Source organism: Homo sapiens, chromosome 8, assembly GCF_000001405.40.
Source record: "Homo sapiens chromosome 8, GRCh38.p14 Primary Assembly".
Taxonomy (NCBI): Eukaryota; Metazoa; Chordata; class Mammalia; order Primates; family Hominidae; genus Homo; species Homo sapiens.
Window position 1 is genome coordinate 13,357,579 of NC_000008.11, and position 18,243 is coordinate 13,375,821.

The 18,243-nt window shown below is 40.0% G+C and overlaps 1 protein-coding gene across 6 annotated transcripts in view, besides 1 other annotated feature; it reads right to left on the bottom strand.

The window, feature by feature from the left end:
- DLC1 (DLC1 Rho GTPase activating protein) overlaps nucleotides 1–18,243 on the bottom strand; it is a 521,260-nt gene that overhangs the window by 274,218 nt on the left and 228,799 nt on the right. The window lies entirely within an intron of this gene.
- Nucleotides 8,757–9,956: an enhancer, noted in NCBI's record as "BRD4-independent group 4 enhancer chr8:13223844-13225043 (GRCh37/hg19 assembly coordinates)". NCBI's record gives its function as "activates an origin of replication core promoter dependent on BRD2, P300/CBP, MED14 and CDK7 cofactors, and independent of BRD4, by STARR-seq in HCT116 cells {active_cell/tissue: HCT116}" and the evidence as "EXISTENCE:reporter gene assay evidence [ECO:0000049][PMID:35650434]".

Consider the following 18,243-nt stretch of genomic DNA (forward strand, 5'->3'; position numbering starts at 1 on the left):
ACTGCATGTGACCCTTTGTTTATGGTTTAGCAAGGGTTGTGAAATTCTGAACACAGTTTCAAGAAATTACAAGAAGAGTGGTGAATTCTCTTTTCATGAGTCAAATCCCAATTCTTTTCATCTTCAGGTTTTCTTCCTTGAGAATTACAGTAGTTGAGATATGTTTGCAATAGATATGTTGAACTCTTATGAAAATCCAGATGGATGAAGACACCTATTTTTTTCAATGCTGTGTGAATATCCAGAATTACTAACATATTAGAAATTTTGCAGTTTTCTGAACATGTAAAATTTCTTGGAAGAAATTAGAAGAGAGCCTCTTGATCACAAAAAATATAAATTCTGCCTATGGTACAGATTTTCAAAAATGCCTGTATATATGTATATACATTAGGTATGGTCTTTATTCACTTAATTTAAATTTTAAATTGATAGATAAAACTGTATAAAATTAGGGTATTATCTTCAAAAGAGATGAAAATTTTCTGAAAACCTGCAGACAAAAAGTTGAAAGGCTAATCCTGCTATTCTGTTTTGCTTTATAACAAATATTTTCCTATTCACCGTAAGTTTTTCTGGAAAAAAAATAGCTGTAAGTCAGAGATTCTTACTTAATTAACTAAAACCAATTATATCAGAGCAAGCTTCTTTTCCATCCTACAAACACGCATAAAAATACACATACAAAATGTTTTCACTTATGAATAAGCAACCTGAAGAACCACGAAAGCACTAAATTGGATGTTGATTTCAAAATACTCGTTTTGTCACCCCCAGGTTAGTGAGACTGCCAAGGGTATATGCTCTCTGGGTAGAAGAGTGGAGGATGGCCTTTGACTTGCATTTAGTCCAAAAAAAGTGCTTGATTACTCTGGCTAAGTATTTTCAGTTTTGTGCTGCTTAACTGCATAGGCGATTATTAATTTGCCACCTAGTATTTTTCTAGTCTACAGTAGGGGAAGGAAATGTAAGAAAAGTTTTTTTTTCTTTTAAAAAATATACATTAAAATATTTTCCCATTTTATCTATTAAAGTTTGTCTTTCTTAAATAACCCCATCACGAAAGTTTTCTAGTACCCTCAAAAATATAACATTTCTGCTAAGGAAGGAGCCAAAAAAAAATGCTAACAAAGATAAAGGAAATGGAAAAGAAGAGATGTGTAGAAAAAATTGTCCTGTTACTTGAACCCAAGCACTAGAGATGGCCATTTTCTTTACTTTCTCTTTAGGTATATACTCAGTGACAAAGTTATTAAAAATCAGACTATGTTACATAGCATGTTTGTGAATGCTGGAAGGTATCCCTAGGCAACACTATTTGAAAAGTAATGCCTATTTTATTCTGCAAAAGCAAGACAGTTACAAACTTTTTTTCTTTGAGGTGGAGTCTTGCTCTGTCGCCCACGCTGGAGTGCAGTGGCGCGATCTAGGCTCACTGCAAGCTCCGCGTCCCGGGTTCACGCCATTCTCCTGCCTCAGCCTCCCAGGTAGCTGAGACTACAGGTGCCCGCCACCACGCCCGGCTAATTTTTTCGTATTTTTAGTAGAGATGGGGTTTCACCGTGTTAGCCAGGATGGTCTCGATCTCCTGACCTCGTGATCCAGTGCCTCGGCCTCCCAAATTGCTGGGATTACAGGCGTGAGCCACCGCACCCATCCTACAAACTTTTTTTTCTAAGCAGTGTTCTCTCTCCTCTCTCACAAAACCTGCCTCATAAGCTGATTCGGAATTCCTTATTTGTATCCTTAACCCATCAATTTGGCTTTGTTGGGTAATGTTACGCTCAGGTAATGCTATACAAATCTGGGCAAATGGGTCTTACTTCAAAAGACTTGGGACTCAAATTATAAGTGAAAAGAGTCCAGTTCTGCTAATAATATGCACCTGCGGCTCTGCTTGAGGTTAGTGGGAATCTTGACTATTGGAAGAGGTGGGGTTTACTTTAAGCTGGTTTAGCAAAGTACAGCTCAATCTAAACGATGCATTGGAAAGGAAACTCCACAAATCCAGTGATGTGACATTTGTCTACAACAGCAATCATAAGGGTAGTTTCATGACATCCAAGAATGCTTCCAGTTACTGAAGAAATCTTGCAAAATCATTTAAGGAATTTTCAAAGTATACTTAATTGCTTGTTATATATAATAATGACATAAAATGATATAAAATAAAATGAATAGGAACCATACTATGATTTCACCAGAGAAGTTGGGTGGTGTCATAAAGTTAAGCGATGAGATGTGATTGTAACTTTGAACAGGTTGGAAGTTATTTAAGTTCTCATGCTATTCAGGCCATTATGGAATGAAAATCATAAATGTTCAGGATATTGCAGATGCATTTACACTTGACAGGGTTTGACAGAAATGAGACACTTGTTAATAAGATTTATAAAGAGCTACTCCATCGACATTTTAAAAGTGAGTATGTTGGATTCCGCATTATAGTATTTATAAAGCTTTCCACACAACTGGGTAGAATTCTTTCTTTGCCTATCCCCACAGGAGACAGACAAGCTGGGTTCAAGCAAGCTGAGTTTCCTTGAGACATTAATTTCATGTGTCTGAGTTCTAGTTTCCTCTTCTGTAAAATGAAGATAATACCTGCCTGGTTGTACTATTTTGAGAATTAAATAAGGTAATGTACATAAAACACTCAGTACAGAGCTCTACACAGAACGAACACTCAATAGACCAGCCTGCACATTAGAATCACATGGAGAAATTTAATATCTACCACTGCCAGGGCCTCACTGCAAACCAACTGAAATCAGAAATGTATTAGGGAGCATATATTGGTATTATAAAAGCCCCCCACGAGATTATCACTGTAGCCAGGGTTGCAAACCATTGATCTAAGCTACCCATTTCCTCTACTAGTAGTTCTTAACCATGGCTGCACATTGACATCACCTGGGAAACTTAAAATACTGATGCCTGGGTTTCTGTTTCTGATTTAATTGATACAGCGCTGGGCTTGGGCATTGGGATTGTTATAAATTCTCCAGTTAATCCTAATATGCTGGAGGTTGAGAACCACTGAGAATCAGCAAGGAAAGACTTACTCTGTGTTTTTTGGTTGCATAGTGTGATTTTTTTTTCTTTTATAAATAATGTAATTTTCTGATCATACAAGTAATCCATGTCTTAGAAAATATGAAATGTAGAAAACAATGAAAAAAATAAAAAATAAAATTCATAATCTTACTACCCACATACAAACATTGTCAACAGTTTGGTTTGTTTCCTTCTTTCAATGCTAATTGTTTTGCATGGCTGGGCTCATGTTTTATACACATTATTTTTTTTTTTTCTTTTTCACCTTAATATTAGAAAACAAGTATTTTCCTTTTCTTAAAGAGACAATATTGGCTGGCTGCAGCGGCTCATGCCTGCGATCTCAATACTTGGGGAGGTTGAGGCGGGCAGAATGTTTGAGCTCAGGAGTTCAAGTCCAGCTTGGGCAACATGGCGAAACCCTGTCTCTACAAAAACATACAAAAAGTAGCTGGGTGTGTTGGCATGTGCCTGTAGTACCAGCTGCTCAGGAGGTTGAGGTAGGAGGATCACCTGAGCCAGGGAGGTTGAGGCTGCAGTGAGCCTTAATTATACCACTGCACTCCAGCCTGGGCGACGGAGTGAGACCTTGTCTCAGAAAAACAATACAAAACAAAACGAGAGAGAGAAAGAAACAGGATTTTACCCTGTCGTGCAGGCTGGAGTGAAATGGTGCAAACATCTTAATAGCTCACTGTAGCCTCGAACTCCTGGGCTCAAGCAATCCTCCTGACTCAACCTCCTGAGCAGCTGGGACTACAGGGGCATGCTAACATGCTCTGCTAATTTTTTTTTTAATTTCTTTTTTATCTTTTGAGACAAGTTCCTCTATGTTACTCAGGCTGGTCTTGCATTGCTGTTCTCAAGCTATCCTCCCGCTTCAGCCTTTCAAGTAGCTGGGATTACAGGGGTGAGCCACCACGCCCTGCTCCAGTGTAGGTATTTTCAATGTTACTTAATGGACATTTTAGGTATCATTTTAAATAAGTAGAATGTGTTTAAAAAGTCCCCTTTACATATTATTATTTCCTATATTTCAAAGATAGGTCTGGACAAGATATTTATGAACTTTTAGACAAGTTTTCCCTACCAAAATCTAATGTCCCTTCTGTTAGGGTAAGAAAAAGTAGAATCAAGCTTCTTGCTCAAGGAAGAACTGAAAAGGGCTGACAGTAGGCGTTGCTGCCTAACTTCTTATTTAGTACATATATCAATAATCTTCTATAAGTAAGTCATGACATTAGGTGCTGGGCACTGGGCTAAATAGTGATCTGAATGCTAGGCCAAGCTGAGACAGATTTCCCATATAGTCAAGGCAGGAAGAAGAGGAAGGACAGAATTTCCCAAAACCAAAGAAATAAATTCAAAAGTGGAGTCAAAGAGCAGCCAGACACAATAGATGTCAACCACTAAACTTGAGAAAACAGCAGAACTTTCCAGCCTCAGGCTCTGAAGGAGGAAAGTGGGAGCAGTGGCTTAATTGGAACCATTTTGCAAGGCAGAGAGGAGTTGGCACATACTGGTCTACAGAGTGAGTCTGGGAAGCTGAAGACAACATCTGCAGGGAAGATGACCTCGATGACACTTCATAGGATGTGGAAGCTGAGCAATACAGCTTAGATGACTTACTGGAAGTTCACCAGTAAAACTGGAGAAAGAGCCCAGTGTTTTGGGGACATCATAGAGTCTGGCTTGGAAAAATTTCTTTGACATCTGCCAATGAGGAGGCAGCAAAGCGTGAAATTAGGACATTTGTCTGGTTGCAGTTAGATTCCCGGGCACTCTGTATGGTGGGGATCCAAGTGCCCAATAGTGGAATGATTTTGAGGCAGTGCCTGGAATTAGAGTGAAACTCTTATGTCGGTTAACCTTTCCTGCCTTCATTAGCTCACATCCCTTCCACTCCTGAACGTGGACATCTGTTTCTTGCAATTCATAATTAATGGTCTATTATCTAGTATTGTTGCCTAATTTTTCAATGGATGTTAATCTTGTTACTAAAACAAAACTATAAACAAGGGGGGTGTGGAAGAGGGAAGGGGAACTTGTATTATATTTACAATAAAACTCAAATTTACCATAATCTCTGTCTCTGGTGTCTGCATCAGCCACACTGGCCCCTTCCCGTTCTCTAAGCATTCTACTGTCTTTCCTGTCTCAGGGCCTTTGCCCCGGATATTTCCTGTTTAGAATTCTCTTCTGTTTTGTTTTGTTTTTTTCCAACCACATGGCTGGCTTCTTCTCATCACTTAAGTGTTCCAGCATCCTAGAGAGGCCTTTCCAGACCATCCTACCAATGTTACTCCCCACATCTCTGTTTTCTCGATTACATCTTTCTATTCCCTTATCACAATGCGTGCATTCATTTATTCAGTAATTGTGCATTACCCTTCTACTGTGTGCTAGATATGGGCATACAATATTGGTCTTTGCCATCACAGAGCCTACACTTTGTGGGGGATGTAAACATTAATGAGACAAACATCACACAAATATTTGTAAATTACTAATTCTGTTAATGTCTACACATGAGAGCCCATGGAACTAACCTGAAAGTATTTCTGTATTTTAATTTGGATTTCTTTGTAGTTTGTTATCTTTCTGCCACTTGTATATTTGCTCCCTGAGGGCAGAGTCATTGCTTTCTGTCTGTTTCTGCACTGTGTTCTCAGAGCATGCATATTGTGGAGACTTAGTATATGTCATTGAATACGTGAATGCTAAGCATTTGCAGTGTTTTTTTTTTTTTTTTAAACTTTATGGTGTCCATCAGAACCTAGCATTATGCCTGTTTAATTGATTAACAACATTGAAGCTCAGATAACAAATTGGTCTCAGGTCATAAAGCTGGTGACAGAAGTGGAAACTGAACCTAGCTCTTTTTCCAAAAGTTATTGTTCTGTCTATTACACAGAAGGCATGAGAGAGGTGAAGAGCAAATTATTGTAAATTGTTTTACAATAATATAGAACCTAAAGTCATTGGTTAAGGTATTTTTACATGTTCTCCCCCATAAAATTGAAAACAAACAAAAAAAACCAAAAGGAAAAAAATCACCAGCATGCAAAAATATCCTACAACTTTATTTTCCATTGTAGGTCCAGCAAAATCTAAGGTCGCCAAGCATGCTGAAACATTTCTCAGTATTTGGTGATTGCAAAACTGGATTTCATTTGGATCTTAGATTTGGTACCAAAATGATAACTGGAGCCATCAAGAACAAAAGCTGTATGCTTGTGTGCCATTTGCTTTACTTGGCTAAAGAAAACCAGGTATAAAGGTACACACTCCCTTAACTCTTTCTACGCTCTAAGAAGCTCTTTGAAATGTGAAATTCCTACAGTGGTTTCTTTGTTTGTTATAACTTGAGTGATAGCAGGGAGAGGTAGGGGTGTGTGTGTATGTGTGTGTGTGCGCACGTGCACACGCATGCATGTGACTTCAGCTTTAGAGAAAAGAGGCAGGAGAATGAAAGAGAGAAAGGAGTTCAAGGAAAGCCAGAGAACAACTAAGAAGAAGATTTCTTGTCCAGATTCTTCAGTAACACACTGAACTCTACATAGAATGTCAGCCCATCACCTTCCTCTTCAGATCTGCTTACCTAGTTTGCTCCCTCTTCGTAGTTAAAGCTATTTTTAAGTTTCCAGTTCTCTGGGTAATGAAACTTTTTTTTTTTTTTTTTAGATGGAATCTTGCTCTGTTGCACAGGTTGGAGTGCAGTGGCATGATCTTAGCTCACTACAATCTCCATCTCCCAGGTTCAAGCCAGTCTCCTGCCTCAGCCTCCTGAGTAGCTGAGATTACAGGCATGTGCCACCACGCCAGGCTAATTTTGTATTTTTAGCAGAGACAGATTTCTCCATGTTGCTCAGGCTGGTCTCGAACTCCCAACCTCAGGTGATCCTCCCGCCTTGGCCTTCCAAAGTGCTGGGATTACAGGTGTGAACCACCACAGCAGGCCTGCATAATGATACTTCTATCTCCCCTTTTGTTTACTGACCCTACATACTGGTACATGAACCATGCAAGCACATAAGCTTACATGGATTCCCTTTTTTGGACTAGGAATAGGTGATTTTTAAAATTATCACATGCTATAGACATCTTTGTCAGCCTTTCAAAGACCAATCAAAACCAAACTTTTCCCCTAACTTAGTAAAAACATGTATATTTTAAGGAAAGTCGTCTCATATTTCTAACTCATTTACCCACAAACCATCAAAACAATAAAAATAAATTGCCAACTAAGAAACTCATTTGAGTTTATTAAAATATAATTGCAATGTTTGTTTTCTGTCCTTAAAAGGACCCTCATCTTTTGCCAAGGATTAAATTCTTGGTATGTTTGAGATTGCATGGTAAATCTTTGCCCACAGACTTGCAACACTTTCTTCAACTAGGACACGTGTCTTGCTGTTCTAATACTTCATTTACATTTAATCCAATCTGTATTCCCGTAGTATAGTCCTTAGAAATCAAATTCCATTTTAAATTTCCATGTCACAACCTCTATCCTGTTACTGGACTTTGCACAGGTCGAGAGAATACCCTGTAGGGATTCCTTTGTGGACTTAAATTAGGAGAAAAATACTTTGAGTTAGACTGATTATATCTATCCTTTAGAACAAAAGCATGCTAGGCTATTGAATGCAGTGAGTCAGATGTCCACAGGGCTTACTATTATCTAAGGTGCACGTGGAGCTGATCCACGCCTTTGGTGGTAAGTGACTGCACAGCTCCCCTCCCTTGAAGGAGGAACTACTGGCCTCAATTCACTTGCAGATACTATGATAGTTCCAGGATCTTCTGGAAAGTCAGGTGACCCTGTGCCTTTATCCTACTCTAGATGTGACCAGAGTTCAAACAGAAGACACCTGTGAATGCGTTGGAGGGACAAATGCCAGATGCATGAGATGTTACCAATTTCTCTTTTGAGAATGTTGGAGTCCACCTTGCTTAATGAAGCACTTACAGCACTTTCATTGTGCACCACTGAGCGAGCCGTGGTGAGACGGTGCTCCTTCTGGGTTTCCAGACATGTGTCATTTCCACTGCATATTTAGCAGCACATAACTGCCTGCAGTGGGGAGAGCGGAATGTGAGGCATGTCTCACCGAGGAATAGGGTTGTTATTTAAAAAAATTAAAAAAAATCACTCAACTGCTAATGGAAATGTCAACCTCTCAGCCCTATTCTTAAAAATAAATATATACAAGGAGTTCCCCATATGAGAGGCACCTAAGTGACCCAAGATATTCATTTCCCTGAAGTCACTCACAGCAGGCCTGTCTGGAAAAATGCTTTCATCTTCCGCAAAGAGAGGGGAAAATGTACCAGCCAGAAGGTTTAAAGACTAGGACTTTAGAAGGTGAAGTGGGAAAAGTGATCCTTCAGTCAGGTGAATTTGGACCAAACAAGATTAATTTCTATGCTTTCAGCTCAACAAGTGCTGCATAAAGACCACAGAATTATAGACTCGAAGAGAAGCCTCTACGGCTCGTCCAGCTAGCTGTTTAACACTGGGTTCCTCCTAGTCCTGGAATTCCTATTGGGAGCCCAGGGCTGAAGGGGCAGTGAAAATAGTAGGGCTTCCTATTGTTCCTGCCAGGACAACTCTGCTTTCATCTGCTTTCTGGATTGTAATCTACTTTAATTCATTGAGAAAATGTCTGTTGAGCATCCACTACATGCCTGGCGCTGTCCTAAGTATGATGATATCGTAGTGATTAAGATGGACACTGTCCATGGCCCCATGAAACTTGCAGTCTATGGAAGGTTCTTTGTGGGCACATGGTAGGTGTGTGAATGGGGAGGTTCTATGGTTAACACTATGAGTGATATTCTAGCCTTTGAGGATAAATAAACCCAACAAGTTAAAGCCCCACAGCAAATTAACAGAAAAGCTGGGGAAAGAACCCAGAGGTCTTGACTTATACTTCAGTGTTCTTGTTCCCAAGTTCAGACAAGAAGTTCAAACAACAAAAAATTTAGAAATCTGCTTGGTTAGAGCAGATATAAATTTTGGGCCAGAAACTTCCCCTGACTAGGTCTTCTCTCCATTTCTCTCCTTTCGGATGCCCTCTCAGGACTCAGTGAAGGCTCTATGCTCATCCTCAGACACAGGAAAGATCTTTCCAGACCAAGGTCTCCCTTTCCCCTCTGGGTCGAAGGCCACCCAGCTGTACTTTGTTCCAGAAGCTTTCCCATCAGTCATTCTCCCTTCTGGCCGGGCTCTCCCACACACACTCATCTCTGTGGAATTGCTGGGCTCTTGCATTCCTCGATGTGTTGCATCACTTCCTTCCTTCCTGTCTTGCGTGCATGGGGCACACTTTTCAACCCTCATTCCTGTCTACTCACTCTCCCAACCACGAACTTTGCCTCCTTTCCCTTTCCTCTCCATGTCTCCCTGGAGGCTGTATTCTGTATTTTATAATGCTAAAAATGAGAATAGAGGCCAGATGACACTCAGTGTATTTGTGTCTCTCTCCTTAAAATCCTTTACTCTTTTCTAATTTTGGGTTTCTACTTTAGTCCTGGTCACTCGTTCTGGCTGCTGTCATACCTTGGGTCTTGCAAGGCTAGATCTGATCAGTTTTACAAGGAGAAGGGGACCTGCAGGGTTTATAACTCAGGACGTGAAATGCATCTCACTCAATCCATCCAGATCATGAACTGTGAGGAAACCTAACACAGAGAACTGCTGGCAGTGATTCTACACTGTCCTTAAAGATCCTGTAGTACAGACAGCCTCCTGTTCTTAGGTGCTGCCTACATGTTAGCTTGCATATCTCAATCGTCATTAGGGGGCCCAATAGAAGAAAAGCAAAAAGCAGCCTCCACCTACCAAAGATCTTCCCATGAATTGTTTTTTTGTACAACCTTGTTTCTTGATTACAACAACAACAACAAAACAAAATAAGACAAAGACGTGCTTATTTGTTTTTGTGAAGGGTGTGTTTTCTTTACATAGTCTAGCACACTGAATCTTTCCTGTATCCTTTGAAGTCATCATATCAGGCACTTTGTGATGTTTAGTGAAATACTCTGTAGTAGAAGTGAAGTACTCTGCAGTTTATTCTTCTCTTTTGTGTTTTGTTTCATCTGAAATTGGTCAATTTCAGGATGAATTCTGCAGGTTTGGCCAGTCTGCCAGCACCAGGGCAAGGAAGTGAGACAGGAGAGGTTTCAAGAGATTCTTCAAGTTACATTTGCAAATGAGGATGAGATAGTAAGATTAGGACAAGAGCCTTGAGAAGTTTTTCGGCTTAGACAGGAATTTCACAGAAATAAACATAGACTCTCTTCAAATCCCAATTATGACCAATAATTGTGTGGGGTTTGGAAGAGTGTCTATACCTCTGGAGCTGGGAATGGTTTCTGGAATGGTGAAGTTCTGTGTTTAAAGCAGTGACTACATCTTTGACCCTGGCTTCAAGAGGCCCTTGTGTTCCAAACAGCTGAATTTAATCCAGTAATATGTAAAGTGGAAAAGAAAGTTAGAGCTCTTCTGTTGAAAGACATAATTGGGAATTTTTAAACAGATTAGATTTGACCCCCACTTTAAATTGAGAGATTAATGTCTCAAACTTGATAAAGGGCCCTCAGACACCATGTCTTCTATCTCCTAGGACAGTATATTTTCCATTACCAAACTCAAATTCATACGTTCCTTTCTTCCCTTCCCCCGCTTTCCATCCTTCTTTCTGGAAACTTGGCATCCTCTTCATAGTAAAGATGTCTGTTGTTGATTAAAGCATTGCCTTGCACCTCAGGCAGCAGCACAACAAGAAGGTCAAGTTCTCATTTGCCCCAAGGAAATCATGAAGGACTTGAGGTTGCTACAGTGAGATATTACCCAAGGGAAAACGCAAGCCAAGGCAGTTAAATTTTTTTTTTTTTTTCTGCATAGAAAAAAAAGTTCTTACAGAATGCCAGTGTTCTGTCAGAGAGAATTTTCCATTTGAGCCACAGTTATTTGTACCAAGTTGACATGCATCATTCCTAATAGGTTAACCTTGGCAGCCTGGTGGAAACACAGATACTCTGAGTTGTTAGGTGAAAGAGCCCTCACGGAAGGGAAGGATGTTTATGGTTTCCAGTTTCTAGAATAAACAAGTTTCTTCCAAGTAAGGATAAGTGATATGGATGTTAGTGATGTTCTTCCTGCTCAGTCCATCTCTGATGATGGTTATTTATTTATTTTAAGAGGGAGTCTCACTCTGTTGCCCAGGCTGGAGGGCAGCGGTGTGATCTTGGCTCACTGCCACCTCTGCCTCCTGGTTTCAAGCAATTCCCCTGCCTCAGCCTCCCAAGTAGCTGAGATTACAGGTGCTCACCACCATGCCTGGCTAATTTTTATATTTAGTAGAGACAGGGTTTCACCATGTTGGTCAGGCTGGTCTCAAACTCCTGACCTCAAATGATCTGATTGCCTCAGCCTTTGATGATGTTTAGAGAATAAGAACATTCAGGGCAGTGCTATGATTACACGGTTCACCTTATTTCCATTCATATGTCCATCCTGCATCCTCAATAGTCTGTAAGTGCCTACAGGCCTAGAGAACATGTGCTGTGTCTTAACCTTCTGTCTCTCTCCTGTCATGCCATAGAGTGGAGTTGTTGAATTTGGTTGAACTTCTAATAGATTCATTCTTTCTATTTAACCTATTGATACCTCCTTTCATAGTCTCGCACGTCCAGTATTTTTGGCTGGGTCGAAAAAAAAAAAAAAAAAAGATTACAAATGTTCTCACCAAAGTCATGAGAGGCTGCTTTTTCTTTTGTTGTTAAATCACATGGGCAATTTTCGGTTCTCATCTCCTCGTCTGAATGATTGTTTTCTGCAACAGTACTCTCTCCTAATTTTTTGGGCACTCCAATTCAGTTTCCTTTGATGAGTTCTCTCATTCTTCTAGTAGCTCGGGCAGAAGCCCTGAAGTCATCCCTGGCTTCTTTCTTTCTCTTATGGACAATGTTCAATTCATCAGAACCCCTGTTTTTTTCTCCCTTAAAAATACATCTAGAATAAGAACAATTTTACCAGCACTGCTGCTAGCTACTTCCTTGGTCCAGACACCATCCTCTCTGGCCTGGAGGGTTACACTTGCCTCCTGCCTGGTCTCCTGGATCCCCCTTCTTGTGCCCATAAGCTGTTCTCAACACACAGCCAAAGTGGTCCACTTGAACCCCAAGTCGGCTCTCCGATCGTCTCCTCAGAGCCCTCCCCTGGCTTCTCATCTCACTCAGAATAGAAGTCAAAGTCAGATTTAAAACTTAAAAAAAAAAAAAATGGAAAAAGGAAAAAAAAGTCAAAGTCCCTACAAGGCCTCTGAGGTCTTTGGGACTGGTCACTCCTCCTCGCTCACTTGGCCCCAGAAGAATGACCTCCTGTGGCTTTTCCCAGAACATCTAGTTTGCCCTTCTCCAGGTATGTACATTGTTTGTTTTCTCACTTCCTTCCAAACTTTACTCAAAAACCTAATGTCACCTTCTTAGTAAAGCCTACCTTGATCACTTTGTCTAAAGGCCACAGCTCACCCATTCTTCCTAGAGCATATCATTAGTAAAGGCAATGAATATTTTACTTATATTTTGTTTGTTTTTTCTTCAATATACTATAAGCTCTAACAAAACAGGGATTTAAAAATTATTATTTTTCATAATTAATGTCCATTCTGTTCACGGATCCACTACTTGACATACAGTAGGTGTTTGATGAGCATTTGTTGAGTGACTGACTGACTGAATGTTGGTGCTCCCCGTTGTTTTCTCTCAGTGTTTTATTCTTGCCACTTGTGTGCTCATCTCATGTCTAAAACCACCTGTCTGTGGGTTACACTCCAGGGCAGACTTCTTCTTGGAGCTCCACACAGAGATATTTAAACTGCTTCCCAGGCATTATCCTTGATGTTCCTGTGAGTGAGGGCTGTTCCTCCCATAAAGGGCCTAAGCATATTAACGTGCATAACTGAAAAGTCCAGTTGTAGGGCTGGCTTCAGGTGTGGCTGAAATCAGGGCTCAGCTAATGTCACCAAAACATGCTCCTTTTTGTTCTGTCACTAAGCTCTGCTTTTCTTTTGGCTACGTTCTTAGGTTTTCTTTCTGGGGTGGCAAGATGTGTACAGCATCCCAAGCCTCATATTCTTGTTGCTCTAAATCCAATGCAAGGGAGACAGCCTCTCACGCAGTTTCTGGTGTTCAAACCCTCATTGGACTAGCTTAGGACGAGTGGATCCCTGCCTTCCCTACTCCCCACCACAACACAGCCACACAGTCACACTTACACATGATCCTGGCCAAGGGAACTGCAGTGTTTAATGGCTCTGATGTGGGTGACGTACTCTATTCTTGAGGGTAGCCCTGCCACACCATACGAACTAAGTATTATTGGGGGAAATCCTCAAATGGAAATTTGGGTTGTTTTCAGATCAAGGAAAAATGGATGACAAAGGTAAGCACCATCATTTTCCTAGTTGCTCAATCTTTCTGTGGTCTTGTTTTTTTCCTTGTCTTTACTCTGTTTATCCAATAAGTTACTTTATTATTTCCTTAATGTGTATCTTGAATCCATGTATGCCTCCTCTTCCTCTTTGCTATTACCTCAGTTTCGGCGTCATCATTTTGTCCCTGGATTTCCAGAACAGCCTTCAAAATTGTCTCCCTCCCTAAAGTCATTTTAATGTATTCTGTCCCCATTCAAAAGAGGTTTTCCAAAATGCACATATGTTTTTCTCTTTCTGTTTCTATCTCTCTGTCTCTGTCTCTCTCACTCTCTTCAAGTTCCTCTTTGTCACAGTGTAGGAGATGCTTTTGAATCTGATTCTAACCAGCCTCTGCTCCTCAGCTCTGAACATGTAAGTCCATGTACCTTTGACAATTGGAGCCAACTGCTAGTCCTCAAACATGCGGTGGACTTTTGCACCTTCACGCCTTGGCTCACAATGACTTTTTTTTTTTTTGCTTGGAGAGTTATTTCCTTGGCATTCTACATCAGGAAAGATCCATCTGTCCTTAAATATCCAATAAATATTTTTTGAGCACCCATTGTGTAACACCTTCAGCTAATTCCCTCAGAAAGAATGGTGCTGTCCCACTCCAGGCTTTCCTGAGTTAGAGTTGGCTGTGCATTAGTGTGTTTCCTGTTTAACTGTGAGCTCCTTGAGGAAGCCTATTGTAGCTCCACTATCCAGCACAATGCATGGCACACAGTAGGCACTCACTCAATAATTATTGAATGAGTAAATGTAATGTACAGACCAGAAGGTAATATTGGGCATTTGAAAGGATGTTCACTACTGAGGAAGTATATCATAAAAGGAGAAAATAAAAACTGTGGCTCTATAATGGTACCTTCTCAAGAGCCAGATCCTCTTGAAAATGCATTCACCAAACACATTAAAATAGATCGGGGCATCGTGCATGTGACTTGCAAATTGAGATTTTGCTTATTAGGAAATAGTCACAACTCGTTACCATTTACATTTCACTTGTTATTTCTTCAAAAAAAAGTGTGTGTGTGTGTGTGTGGCTTTGATAGTGGGAAATAGAAAACTAAATGTCTGGAAAAAATGGGGCCAAATAGATATAATTTAGTTTTATATAGAGGTTATTCTAAAAGTCTCAGAAAATCACGAGCCAAAGGTTCAAAATCATGCTTTCCTTACTAATTGCTTATAAGGATCAAACACTTATAGAGAGAATTGCAATCAATAAAAAGGGTCATTTCCATGAGTAGCCTGTTTACAACCATTTTGTACACAAACAGAAGAACCGTTTGAGGATTGGTGGTCAGTTCACTAGCACTCCAAGAAAATGTCCAAACAAATTCTTCTGTGTTGACATGGAAGAACATCAGTTCTTCAGAGACGCCAACACAGTGCAGAAATCCTTCCTTTAAGTGTTTGCATTCATCACTGATGAAACACTGGGGCTGACTTGCTGACATCTGAGTTACTACAGTTATCAGATACAGTTCATGAACTGTCTGTCATATTCTAACTAAGCGCTAAACTATTTCCTCATCTTTGTGAGTAAAAAGGAACACGTCATTGATAGTGGAAAGTTCAAGGCATCCCATTTAAAAAGAAATAGTTATATTAACTCATCTTAATATTTTCTTTAGCACAAGAGTTTTATTTATATAGAAAAGGGCCTATATGGTAAGTTATTTAGAATGCAGGGAAACAAATTTTCCAGAAATATATATCTTTATAATTTATAATAAATGTTCTTTGGAATATTCCTAATAAGGCAACAGATTTGAATGCCATCAAACACCATGCCCAGCATCCACCAGGGGTTGGCTCAGAGAACAGCAGCTAGGAAGTAGCTACAGGAAGCAGCAGACATGGCTGAGCCTAAACCCAAATTACAATTTATTTTTATTTTTTATTTTTGAGACAGGGTCTCATTCTGTTGCTCAGACTAGAGTGCCGTGGTGCGATCACAGCTCACTACAGCTGCAAACTCCTAAGCTCAAGCATTCCTCCGGCCTAGATGTCCCAAAGTGCAGGGATTACAAGGGTGAGCCTGGCCCCAAATGAGAATTTTTAAGATGGGTGCAAACGGGTGACTGAATTATGAATCTTTTTCTTAATCCTTGTCTTCCCAGATAATGACCACATTCATTAGTGTCATTTTGAATACAAAAGTGTGCTGTGGGCTTTTCCCTGATGATAAAAGCCTTCTTCATCTTTTGGTTTTCCCTGAGGTTGAATATTTCAGGCTTTCTGGATACTTGATTATAAATCATTGTTTATCTTATTCTCGGATGTACAGGACAAAGTTGTCCTTTCTGGGCTGATGATCTCCTCATCTTGTTAGTTAAACCCAGTTGTCCTGATCTGTTCCCTTTCTCAATTATATATGTGTCTGTTTAATACACCCTAGTACAGAAAATATCAGAATTTGATTCAGCCCAATAAACAGTTTGCCATAGGATTTACACAACATGCAAATAACATTATTTAAAATTTTATTCAATTCTCCAAAAATAATTGTATGTATTACTTTCAGAAAGTACATCTACTATATAAATTGAGATATAAAAATGATGGTCACTGGGAGAGGGCTCCCTGTGCCTTGAATATTCTGCTAAGAGATTTACTTCCATAACCTCACTGAATCTTCATGAACGTCTTTAAAAGAGGCTAGTTCAATTATTTAATTAAAATGTAAATATTTTAAAGCTGGCTTAGTACAAATAAAAAAGAGAAAAACTTATAAGCTTTGCATTCATATATAAAGCATGTTCTACTTTATAAAATATTCATAATGTTAAAATCCGGTATTATTTCATTTTATGGAAAATTTGGCATAATTTCCAGATTTGCAAAGATGTCATCTAAGTTTGATTGTTTTCCAAAAGCCTTTAATAAAGCAGAAAAAGTGTGAATGAAGGACAAATTATAGGGACTCATAATGTGATATTTTCTGCTTAGGAAATGTGTGGAAATGCTATAAGTGAATGAACTGTATCTGTATTTAATGTATAATTTTTGATTAAACTGAGCCTCTTGAAATAGGTCTCAGAATAAAAATGCAAGGTCAGTGGCTGTGTAGTTTGCTATGGATTCAGATCTGCTACAGTGGAGCTCTCCAAATCCAAGCTTCGACTTATCTTCTGACAAAGGAGGTCAAAGGTCATGCCAAATCCATCTCAAATTCTTTTTTTTTAATGTATTGATAAACAATAGAATTTTACTTAGGTCACATTTCTGAAGGCTAAGCAGTTCAAGATCAAGCATTGCACCTGGTGAGGGCCTTTTTGCTATTTTATAATATGGTGGAAGGCATTACATGGCAAGAGAGTGTATATGAGTGAGGGAAGGGGGCCAAAATTATCTTTTGTAAGAATGTCACCCCAGGCCGGGTACAGTGGCTCATGCCTGTAATCCCAGCACTGTGGGAGGCCGAGGCGGGTGGATCATGAGGTCAGGAGTTTGAGACCCGCGTGGCCAACATGGTGAAACCCCATCTCTGCTAAAAATACAAAAATTAGTCAGGAGTGGTAGTATGCGCCTGTAATCCTTGGTCCTAGGAGGCTGAGGCAGGAGAATCACTTGAGCCCAGAAAGTGAAGCTTGCAGTGAATCAAGGTAGTGCCATTGCACTCCAGTCTGGGTGACAGAGAGAGACTCCGTCTTGGGCAGTATGGCCATTTTCACGATATTGATTCTTCCTATCCATGAGCATGGAATGTTCATTCATTTGTTTGTGTTCTCTTCTATTTTGTTGAGCAGTGGTTTGCAGTTCTCCTTGAAGAGGTCCTTCACATCCCTTGTAAGTAGGATTCCCAGGTATTTTATTCTCTTTGAAGCAATTGTGAATGGGAGTTCACTCATGATTTGGCTCTCTGTTTGTCTGTTATTGGTGTATAAGAATGCTTGTGATTTTTTTTTTTTTTTTTTGAGACGGAGTCTGGCTCTGTCGCCCAGGCTGGAGTGCAGTGGCACAATCTTGGCTCACTGCAAGCTCCGCCTCCCGGCTTCACGCCATTCTCCTGCCTTAGCCTCCTGAGTAGCAGGGACTACAGGCGCCCGCCACTATGCCCGGCTAAATTTTTGTATTTTTAGTAGAGACGGGGTTTCACTGTGTTAGCCAGGATGGTCTCGATCTCCTGACCTCGTGATCCACCCACCTCGGCCTCCCAAAGTGCTGGGATTACAGGCTTGAGCCACCGCGCCCGGCCAAGAATGCTTGTGATTTTTGCACATTGATTTTGTATCCTGAGAATTTTCTGAAGTTGCTTATGAGCTTAAGGAGATTTTGGGTTGAGACGTTGGAGTTTTCTAGATATACAATCATGTCATCTGCAAACAGGGACAATTTGACTTCCTCTTTTCCTAATTGAATATCCTTTATTTCTTTCTCCTGCCTGAATGCCCTGGCTAGAACTTCCAACACTATGTTGAATAGGAGTGGTGAGAGAGGTCATCCCTGTCTTGTGCCATTTTTCAAAGGGAATGCTTCCAGTTTTTGCCCATTCAGTATGATATTGGCTGTGGGTCTGTCATAAATAGCTCTTATTATTTTGAGATACGTATCTTCTATCTAAATTGAATATTTTCAATGATGACTGTTATTTTATTTTATTTTTATTTTTTTGCTGTGAGATGAGAAAGGAATCATTTATATTTGTCAAAGCTTGGCCATCATTTGAATTCAAAGAAGAACATAAACTACA